This window comes from Homo sapiens, chromosome 1, assembly GCF_000001405.40.
Source record: "Homo sapiens chromosome 1, GRCh38.p14 Primary Assembly".
Lineage (NCBI taxonomy): Eukaryota > Metazoa > Chordata > Mammalia > Primates > Hominidae > Homo > Homo sapiens.
Genome location: NC_000001.11, coordinates 59266160 through 59277778, shown reverse-complemented (window position 1 = coordinate 59277778; position 11619 = coordinate 59266160). Strand labels below are relative to the sequence as shown.

The following is an 11619-nucleotide window of genomic DNA, read 5'->3' as shown; positions in this document are numbered from 1 at the left end:
AGCCCAGACACGTTGAGGAATGGAAAATGAGGACAGAGGGGGTACAATTCCATTAGCTCTCTTCAAAAGAAAAGGCCAAAAGGGGATTAAAATCTATAGCACGTTCAAAAAGGGCAGAAAATAAACCAGTCCAACTTTGAAGAGTAAAGATTGAATATTTGCCATTGTTTCCTGTGTCCTCCACAAAAGGGGTTTATTAATTTACACTTAAGGCTGTGCCTAACTCAGTTAATTGAGTTTTAAAAATGAATAATGGACTCATTCTCTTAAAGGAAGAAACAATCACCTACACAATCTTCATTTCTTGTAGCCTGTATTTTATATCTTTATTTTAATCAGAGATTTTTAAACCTGGGTATCCAGGGATGCCATTTTTTTTAATAGAATTCAGAGAGTCACTAAAATTTTATTCAAAATTTTGTGTGTGTGTGTGTGTGTGTGTGTGTGAGAGAGAGAGAGAGAGAGAGAGAGAGAGAGAGAGAGAGAGAGAGAGAGAGAAATGGTCCACAGCTAGCTTTATACTCCTGAAAAAATTAAGAAACCCTAGATCAATTTCCTCATTTTATCTTGATTCAGATATTCACTGAATGCTGAGCTATGTGCTAAATACTATCCTAAATATTTTAACTAAAGATTTCTTCATCTAACCCTTCTGTGAAGTAAGTAATATTGTCTGCCCCTCACCATATTTTCTTCTCCAGGAAACAGAAACTCAGAGTTTAAATAACAGTAATTGCTACCATTTACTGAACACTTCTAATGTACTGATTGTTTTTATATCTCCTTTAATCTTACAACAATTCTATGAAGTAGATGTTATTTCCTTCCCATTTAATCGATGATGAACTAAATAGTCAAAAAAGTTTGGTTACTTATGAGGCTGTTTGTCTAGGTATCTGACACATGGATTTGAGCTCAGATATAATACCAACTCCCGAACTTTAGTCATTACACCATGCTATCTTTTCTTAATAGCCTGCAGCATTTGCTCATGAGTATGCTTCACCTTGAATAGCAGGATATTATTTAATAGGAGCTCCCATAGCATTCACTGCCTAACTGACCCCTCTTATTATCTGAATTAGTCACACTGACTTCCCTTCCTTTCCATCCATACACATTTCAGAAGAGGCAATATATTTCATCAAATAGAAGTAACCTAAAAATATCTTGCAGCTTTCCTTCTCCGGAAGCTTTTCCCAGGCCAGCAAAAGTTGTGTCTACAAGTATTTGCTTGCATGGTTCCTGTGAGGCTCTCTCACAAGCCAGTAATCTGTTCCCTATTTGGACTCAGTTACGTTTGTTGCTGGGATGAAGATGAGTCTTCCAGACAGAGATGAAGAAAGATAACAACTAGAGACGGATAGAGTCAGCAGAGGGGATTCTCCCTTTTCTATATATGTATTTCTTATCTTCCAAGGCTCCACATAAAACCCCCTTCTCAGCCAGGCGCGATGGCTAACGCCTGTAATCCCAGCACTCTGGGAGGCCGAGCGGGCAGATCACAAGGTCAGGATATCGAGACCAACCTGGTTAACACGGTGAAACCCCGTCTCTACTAAAAATACAAAAATTAGCCAGGCATGGTGGCGGGCGCCTGTAGTCCCAGCTACTTGGGAGGCTGAGGCAGGAGAATGGTGTGAACACGGGAGGCGGAGCTTGCAGTGAGCCGAGATCGCGCCACTGTACTCCAGCCTTTGCGGACAGAGCGAGACTCCGTCTCAAAAACAAAAACAAAAAACAAAAAACCCTTCTCCAAGAAACTTCCTCTTGGACATTTGATCTCTTGAGCACTTGCAGTTAGCACCACACTACAATTGAAGAATTGCCAGCAAGAAGAAGAGGTATGAAATATTTAATATAATAATCACTCAGTCACCCAAGTTTTTGTTTATACTCTGTAGAGCGTCGACGCTTCTGAGTGAAGTAGTTCTAATATTTCCTTACAGGAGTTAGAGGGGCCAAGTGTGAACAAAATGATTACAACAACTGTCTTAAAGGCTACAATAGTGGTATTTTTCAAGTAATATAGCAGCATAGAGGAGATAACAACAAAGTCTCCTGGGGGCGTTCAGGAATACTTCACAGAGGAAGTAATATTTAAGTGTGGTTCTCAACAAAGAGTAGGAATTTTCTGAGAGAGAAAAAAAATGGTGATAAAGACATTCCAGAAGGGGGCTGGAATAGAGGCATAAACAGTTATGATGTGTTTGGGAAGAGTAAGACTTTCAGTATGACTAGACTAGACGGAAATTGTGTTGAGAGATGAATCTGAGTTTGGGGTTTCTATTAGTCCATTTTTGTGTTACTATAAAGGAATACCTGAGACTGTGTAATTAATAAAGACGAGAGGTTTAACTGGCTCACAGTTTTGCAGGCTGTACAGGCATGGAAGCAATATCTGCTCAGCTTCTGGTGAGGACCTCAGGGAGCTTTCAATCATGGTGGAAGGTGAAGGAGAGCCAACGAATCACAGAGTGAGAGCAAGAAACGGGGAGGTGCCACACTCTTTTAAAGAACCTCTTTTAAACAACTGTTACAACAGGAACTCACTTATCTCCAAGAAAATTGTGCTAAACCATTCATGAGGGATCTGTCCCCATGACCCACTCACCTCCCAGCAGACCCCACCTCCAACACTGGGAATCACATTTCAACATGAGATTTGGAGGGACAAACATCCAAACCATATCAGGGTGAGACTGTGAAGGACCTATGTGTAGGCTCTGCTCTTGACTTCATTTTGCCTGTACAATATCATTTTCTTTTCAGTTATTTGAATATCTTACTGCATTTTACCTTATTCCATTATATAAACAAGTGGGAAATAGGAGTTAGAAAGACTGATTATGAAGATGAGAAGCAAACAACTATATAAAGAATGCAGTTTTCAAAGACAGAAACCATTAAATATGCCTAAACCAATGATTGTCTTAGCTTTAATTAAAGACTTATGGGACAAAAGACTGTGGATACAGTGTGGAGAAAATGAACTACATTTTAAAAAGTACTTTTCCTTTAAAAAAAAAATTCTAGGAGAAGAAACGCAGAAAGGAAACAACAGTATTTTTAGCATGACTGTTCTGTGTTGTTATTGCACCAGAATTTAATTAATTGCAACTTTTAGTTCATGATATACTCTCATTATGTGCACCTTTTATTTTATTAATAATAACATAAATATTGTATTTGATGAACCTGCCACCAAACATTAAAACTAGAACATTGGCACCTACTTATACTTTCCCACGTGTTCCTTTTCTTCCATCCTCTCTGTCTTCCCATTCAAATTAACCCCTTTTCTAACTCTCCTAACTCCTGTTATGTCTATCTCCTTATTTTAATATACCATTTATACAGACATACTATTACATAGACCATATACATATACTAAGTATATATGCTTGTGTATATATACACAGACACATATATAATATATATACTATTTATTTTTATTTAAATTTTTAAAATTTCAATTGCTTTAGGGGTACAAGTGGTTTTTGGTTACACTGACGGATTGTACAGTGGTGAAGTCTAGGATTTTAATGTATCCATCACCCAAGTAGTGTACATTGCACCCAATAAGTAATTTTTTATACCTCCCCAATCCCCCTGCCTTCTGAGTCTCTAATGTCCATTGTATCACTCTGTCTGCCTTTACGTGCCCATAGCTTAGCTCCCACATATAAGTGAGAACATGAGGCATTTGGTCTTCAATTCCTGAGTTACTTCACTTAGAATAATGGCCTCCAGTTTGTAAAATACATTATTTAGTTCTTTATTATGGCTGGGTAGTATTCCATATATATATATATATATATATATATATATATATATATATATATATATATACCACATTTTTTTAATCCACTCTTCAGTTGATGGGCAGTTAAGTTGATTCCACATCTTTGCAATTGTGAATTATACTGCAATAAACATACATTTACAGGTGACTTTTTGATATATTGACTTCTTTTCTTTTGGGTAGATACCCAGTAGTGGGATCGCTGGATCAAATGGTAGATCTACTTTTAGTTCTTTGAGAAATTTCCATCCTGTTTTTCATAGAGGTTGTACTAATTTACATTCCCATCAGCAATGTATAAGCATTCCCTTTTCATCACAGCCACACCAACATCTAGTGTTTTTTTGTGTGTGTATATACATATATATATATATAATACTTTAAGTTCTAGGGTACATGTGCACAACGTGCAGGTTTGTTACATATGTATACATGTGCCATGTTGGTGTGCTGCACCCATTAACTCGTCATTTACATTAGGTAGGGGGAGGGGGGACAGATGGCATTAGAACATCTAGTGTTTTTTGACTTTTTAATGGTCACTCTGGCTGAGATAAGGCAGTATTTCATTACAGTTTTAATTTGCATTTCCCTGATGATCAGTGATGTTGAGCATTTTTTCATGTTTCTTGGCCATTTGTATATCTTCTTTTGAGAAATGTCCATTCTTGTCCTTTGCCCACTTTTCAATGGGATTATTTGTTTTTTTTGCTGTTTTTTGTTTGTTTGTTTTTCTTGCTAATTTGTTTGAGTTCCTTGTAGACTCTGGATGTTACTCCTTTGTTGGATGCATAATTCAGACATGTATATTTATTATTACATTGTAAAGATTCAGTTACTCTGGCACATAGAGCTGAACTTTATTTCTTTTACTGCTGATTATATTCTCTTATGTGAATATACCAACATGCATTTATTCATTCTGCCACCGATGGGAATTTGGGTTTTTCCTTAATTACCTACCGTATGAAGAAATCTCTGATATTTTTCTGTCACCATTTCAAATTTCCCATCAATTCACTGAAATGAGTTTTATTTTCTTCATTTTTTTGGATGGGGACACTAAACTCAGAGAGAGTATGGCACTTTCCTGATCACAGGGCCACACAGTGGCAGAGCCAATGTTTCAGTTCACTTCTGTGCAAATCCAAAGCCTGCCTTAGCACTTCCTTCCTTCCTGGAGGCTCAATTTTTGACCCAGTCTGCTAAAGCCTCAGGAGACTTCCCCAGCTCATTCTTGTTTTTTTTCTGAGCCCTTTTTATGAGTCATTGCTGGGGTAAAGAGGGGATTTCTGGAGCTACCCCTGTCAGTAGATGTCAAAACAACATGTTCACTCAGGCAATTCCATGGGTAGTAGTCAGTTACACTAAAAATTTTTGGTCTAGCCAGTTGGGCGGGGCTGCATTGACACAGCAAGCTGCTTGAATGAATTTTTTCCTTTTCTACCATTTGTGTTTTCACATAGGTAATAATAGTAATCCTTTACTTGTGAACAGAGCTGTCCCATTTCCAAAGCTCTCTCTGAGTAAGAAAAGTACTATTGGCCCCATTTCGCAGCTCAGGAAACCAGCTTTTAGGGAGATGAAGTGATTCAGCTACTAAGTGGTAGCTTGAAAAAGGGATTTCTAGTCCTGTGCATGCTCTGCTTTTCCATGCAAATATTTCCTGCTTAGATTAAATACATCACTCTGTGATGGAATCTGAAAATCCAATTCTCAGGACATTTCCCAAACACAGTCTTCTTCACTATTAAGAGTCCCATTATTTCCAGTGGAAAGATACCCAGTTGGTTCTCTAACCCCCAAAATATTTGAAAACCACAAATTTTGCTAAATGACAGTCACAATACAAGGAGGAGACGGGTGATGTCATGATGTCATTTGAAGGTGCTAGGATAGACTCCTCCCTTAAAAATCTTTCTCACTGTCTGTCACGGAGATTGAATCTCCACTGCTTCACCACTTATACCTGGGTTGTTTTCAACCTTTAAAAGACCTTTATGAAAAGGTGAGATCTAGTGTAGATCCTATTAAAAATATTAAAAACTTAGACAAATTGTTAGCTGTGTGTTCTTTCAATATTACATTGGAGTGCATTGTGTAATAGCCATACCCAAGGATTATTTAATTCTCTGTGGAAGTGCACTATTGTTTGACTCAGTGTTTTCTGTTGTTTAAGGTCCAGAGTCTGTGAAGAAACATAACTTATAGATTTTTTCCAGCACATGTGCAAATAATTTTATTTGGAAGAAAGTAACTGCAAAGATTAAGATTTTATTTCCCTGTAGGACATTGACAAGTTTTGTGTTTAACCCAGCAATTTTATTCCAACTTTTTTTTTTACTTTTATTTTAAGTTCAGAGATACATGTGCAGGTTTGTTATATATGTAAACTTGAGTCATGGGGGTTTATTATCTGATTATTTCATCACCCAGATATTAAACCCAGTATCCATTAGTTATTTTTCCTGATCCTCTCCCTCCTCCCACCCTTTACCCTCTGATAGGTCCTAGTGTGTGTTGTTCCCCTCTATGTGCCCATGTGTTCTCATCATTTAGAGCCCACTTATAAATGAGAACATGCAATGTTTGGTTTTCTGTACCTGTGTTAGTTTGCTAAGAATAACAGCTTCCAGCTCCACCCATGTTCCTGCAAAGGACATTATCTCCTTTTTTATGGCTGCATAGGATTCCATGGTGTATATGTACTATATTTTCTTTATTCAGTCTACCATTGATGGTCATTTAAGTTGACTCCATGTCTTTGCCATTGTGAATAGTGCTATAGTGAACATATGCATACATGTGTGACAAGTAGGATCTATTAAACTAAAGGGCTTTTGTACAGCAAAGGAAACTATCAACAGAGTGAACAGACAGCCTACTGAATAGGAGAAAATGTTTGCAAACTATGCATCTGACAAAAGTCTAATATCCAGCATCTATAAAAACCTTAAACAAATTTACAAGAAAAAGATCCCAAACAACCCTATTAAAAAGTGGGCAAAGGACATGAACAGACACTTTTCAAAAGAAGACATGCCATACATGTGGCCAACAATCATATGGAAAAAAGCTCAACATCACTTATCATTAGAGAAATACAAATCAAAACCACAATGGGATACCATCTCATACCCATAAAAATGGCTATTATTAAAAAGTCAAAAAATAACATGCTAGCAAGTTTGTGGAGAAAAAGGAACACTTATACACTGTTGGTGGGAGTGTAAATTAGTTCAACCATTGTGGAAGACAGTATGGCAACTCCTCAAAGACCTAAATATAGATACCATTCAACCTAGCAATCCTATTACTTGGTGTATACCCAAAGGAACATGAATTTTTCTATTATAAAGACACATCCAGCATTCCTTCTTCAGTGCATATAAACACCAGTGTCTCACACGTTTTTGTAGATGATCTTTACAAATGTGCTTTTTCATTCATGAATTAGATTGATCTTGGACATGTGTTCACTTTATTTTTCTCTATAATTAAAAAACTATATATATGTTGGCAGTCCTAATTTTTTCATGCCTAAATAAGGGTGTTTCAGTTATAATGTTGCATAATGAATTACCTAAAACTAGAAATGTAAAGCAGTAACCATTTAACTTACTTAGTGTTGTAGGTTAGACTTTGGGAAGGGCTTACTATGAAGTTTTTGCTTTGGGTCTCTCCTAGATTGCAGTCAGATACCTGCTGAGGTTATAACCATCTAAAGGCTGATTGGGCTGGATGCCCAAGATGGCTCATTCACATGGCAGTAGTTGATGCTGGCTCCCGGCTGGGAGCTCAGCTGAGGCTATCAACAGGAGACCCTGCACATACCCGGTATAACATGGGGATCTCAGGGAGTCAGACCTCTTAGGGGGTATCTGGCTTCCCCCAGGGGAAGAATCCTAAGAAAATCAGGTAGACCTACATGGCCTTTACTGACCAAGTTTGGAAAATCACATACATTCCTTCTGCTGTACCTCATTGGTTAAAACAGAATTAAGGGTAGGGGACATAGACCTTGCCTCTTTCTGGGGAGGGTGTCAAAGAATTTTTGGAGTGTGTTTCAAAACCATCAAATGGGAAACCACTTTAAACTTTGCAGAGAGAAGGAAAACTCATCTTTGAGTTATTACGTTGGCAAAAAGATGGTTGAGAGCAGGAAGGGCAAGAGAAGAAAGGACAAATAGAGATAGAGAAGCCAGAGAGTTTGTGTTACTTATAGTTGAAATGATTAGGATCTTCAATCAAGATTATGGGAAGGGGAAGGAGGAAATGCATATTAAAGACAATTCAAATGAAAAATTGAAAATATCTTGTAGCTGATTGGTTGTGATCTGCCCTACTATTTCTGTGACGAAGAGTCTGACTCTACTTTTTTGTAATGTTTGATTGTTGTCAAAAGACAAAATTGCAACAAATTTAAAGATTGAATCGGCTTCTATTTATGATTCTAGAATGTAGAATTTTGATGAACTGAGCAGAGGGGGTTAGTTTTATGGGCAGAAAAAGACTGAAGAAAGCAGGAAAAGAGAATGAAAAGAGAATTGGTCCTTTCACAGTTATTTTCTTATAGGATTAAATTAGAGGGACTCCATTATGCAGCTCAGGTAAATGGCTCCTTCTGGTTGGTTGCTATGATTCTCCTGTTTTGTTGTTTAAACTGCTCTATTTCAGAGTCTAGTTTGATTGCATGGCACCTTACATGAATGCGTCCTTTCTGGTTTGGTCTGGTCTGTTGGAACCGTGCAGAAGCTCAGTCCAAAACAATGGCCTTTCATAAACTTTAACACTGCTGACAGCTTTTAAGCCTTATCCTCCCTCTTCTCCTTTTTCTCACATCTGGGCAAGCTGGTAAGAAAGACCAGTAACCCCTGCTTTGCCACAGTGGGAAACTCAAACCATGCATGGGAACCCTCACCTTAGCCACACCCCAGCCACCATATAAACCCCAAGTCTCCTTTTCCTTCTCTCTCAAGCCACTTTCTTACCTGCCTGAAGGTAATCTGCCCTCCCAAGAAAGCCTCATTATATGAGTAACAAACCTTTTCATTCCCTCTTGGGGCATGTGTGATGCCATCACTCTTGTGCAAACCACATTTTGGGTGGGGATCCATCCTATATCTTCAGGGTGTCTATAACAAGTTCCATGTCACACCATATGTAGTAATTTTGGTTTCTAAATATAAAAATAATAATAGTTATCATGTATTGGCTTCTATATATTAGGTATTGTTCTGGTGCTTTTTACATGTTAACACATTTAGTCTAAACAAGAGTCCTAGGAGGTAGATATTCTCCCCACTTTACAGATAAGGAAACTGGCCAGAGTAGATGAGTAGGTGGAAGGGAGGAATTGACCAAGATGCTCCTCCAGACTTGCAATGTGGTTGAGAAATTGGTGGCACCACTGACTATACTTGGAAAGAGTCGATATCTATTGGAAGAAAAGCTGTTTTAGACAGGCTTAGTTTCTGATGAAAGAGGGGTATACAAATGGAAGACATTCTTTGGCATTTAGAGATAAGGAATGTATTCAATAAAAGTGTATTGGGTACTGATATGGTTTGGATATGTGTCTCCTCTAAATCTCATGTTGAAGTATGATCCCTGGTCTTGGAGGTGGGAGGTATTTGGGCCATAGGGGTGAATCCGTCAGGATGGTTTGGTGCCATTGTCACAGTAATGAATGAGTTCTCACTCTGAGTTCACCAAGATCTGATTGTTTAAAAGAGCGTGACACCTCCCCTTTCTCTCTTTCCTACCTCTCTACCCAGGAGATGTGCTGCTTTCCCCTTTGCCTTCTGCCATGACTGTAAGCTTCCTGGGGCCCTCATCACAGGCAGATGCTAGTACCAGGGTTCCTGTACAGCCTGCAGAACCATGAGCCAATTAACCTATTTTCTTTACAAATTACTAGAGTCTCAGATAGAGACTATAGAGGCTTTTATAGTAATGCAAAAATGGATTAATACAGGTACCATCTAAGTGACAGACTCCAGGAGGGTGGTACACAACAGAGCTCAGGGAAGGGAATGAGACTTGTAGAGTCACATTCGATGCTAGGAGCTGGGATTCAGTTGCTAAGTGAAAGAAAAAAAAGCAGAGGGTTATGAACTCACATTTAGAGCATTAGAAAAAGAGAAAGAGCCAGTAAGCCAGACAAAGGATAGAAGTCTAACTATAGTGGAGTACCTGATTAGGTGGATACAAAATAGATTTTTAAAAATAAACTGTCATTTCTTCTTTGTTCTGAGAAAAGTGCCTTCACTTGATGGCCCTTCTAAGTTGCAAACATAAGGCAGTGGGGACCCACAACTGGAAGGAATTCTGTAAGAATCATCTTCTATTGCTTAGACAGGCTGCCTGCCTTGCTATGCTGAGAGGATCACTTGGATAGAAGTAGGCAAATTTGCATAGAAACCCAAATGGTCCTGGGCATGAAAGACTTGAGATCTGGACTTTTCTTTGGATTCTCAAATTTATTACACTCTTTCCAATAATTACAGATGGCCCCAGCTGAAGTCTACTGGCACAAAGGACACAGAGGTTTCCTAACAGGATCTACCTATGAGGACATTTCTGAACTGATGATACAGGTTTAATACCAGCACTTAGATGGTCACAAAAGAAGATTCATTTCAACCACATATGTGGCCTGTGATTCTGCTGGTGGGCATGATTTGAGGATAGTTGGGAGCATCTGTGTGGAGCACCTTTGGCCAAGAATAACACTGGGAAAGTTGTATTGTCCTTATTTAAAAGATCTCCTGCACCTTTGAATGGGACTAAGCTGGATATCACTGAGGCAGAAAGTGAGAATGAAAATAACTAGAAAGGACCAGACTGTGATGATGACCTCATGTAATAGTGTCAGAAGCTAAAGTTACTGAAAATAGAGCCACTCATAGACAGACCAGACTCTCCTAACTTCCCTGTGAGGACTAAGAATAAAAATAAGATTCTAAGCCCCTCAACTGACTGAAAGGACCATTGTTTGGCCAAGTAAACCCCAGAGAAACCTTGAAAACTGAGTTTTTGGACATGACTTGGGATGGGAGGTCAGGCACACCTCATTATATGCCCTCCCTTGCTAACTGCCATTAGGGTTTCTTTTCTAAGGGCTAAGCAGAAACCAGCGCTTTTAAAAGACTCCATCACTGATAACCAACTGCATTACACTGCCCCTTATATTTGGCATGATAAGAGAACCATAGAGTGGTTCTGGCCAGTCTACGGAGAATGCGCAGTAAGGTTTTTCATATCCTCTTTTTCACCTTTTAATGTCAGAGGGCTGAAAATTCCACCCTCAGATCATGCAAACACAACCATTTCCTTTTTAACATGGGCTCCCTGGGGAAGCATGAAGCTTACTTGCTATGCACACACTTCTCCTTTCATAAGTATTTAGGACTCCTCCAACAGCTTATTAAATATGTGTATTTGGTCACTCTGCTCAGCATAAATTCCTGTTCCCGTTGCCTCTCTCTCAAGGTGCCTGTTTCTGGCTTCTGACCAGAGGCTACACTTCTCAGCCTGTCAGAGTGTCCACCCTGTAGGCTGCAACACTATGAAAAATAAAGCTCTCCTTTTAAAATTTATGAACCTTATCAGTCTTCTGATGACAGGGGTGTTACAAACAGTACTGGGCTTTTGGATTAAGAAAGCAATTTAAAAGGAGGAAGCAAAAAGAGAGGGGAGCCTGAGCTAAGCTCATCTTAATTTTAAATAATAATAATGTGACATTAATTGAACCCCAAGTTGGTAAAGCAGGTCATACAGTTATGAGGACAAAGAAAGCACACTTATAAAAA

The 11619-nt window shown here is 38.6% G+C and overlaps 2 annotated features.

The window, feature by feature from the left end:
* Positions 5035-5144: an enhancer, noted in NCBI's record as "active region_1109". NCBI's record gives its function as "activates an Ori minimal core promoter by ATAC-STARR-seq in GM12878 lymphoblastoid cells {active_cell/tissue: GM12878}" and the evidence as "EXISTENCE:reporter gene assay evidence [ECO:0000049][PMID:35858748]".
* Positions 11195-11354: an enhancer, noted in NCBI's record as "active region_1108". NCBI's record gives its function as "activates an Ori minimal core promoter by ATAC-STARR-seq in GM12878 lymphoblastoid cells {active_cell/tissue: GM12878}" and the evidence as "EXISTENCE:reporter gene assay evidence [ECO:0000049][PMID:35858748]".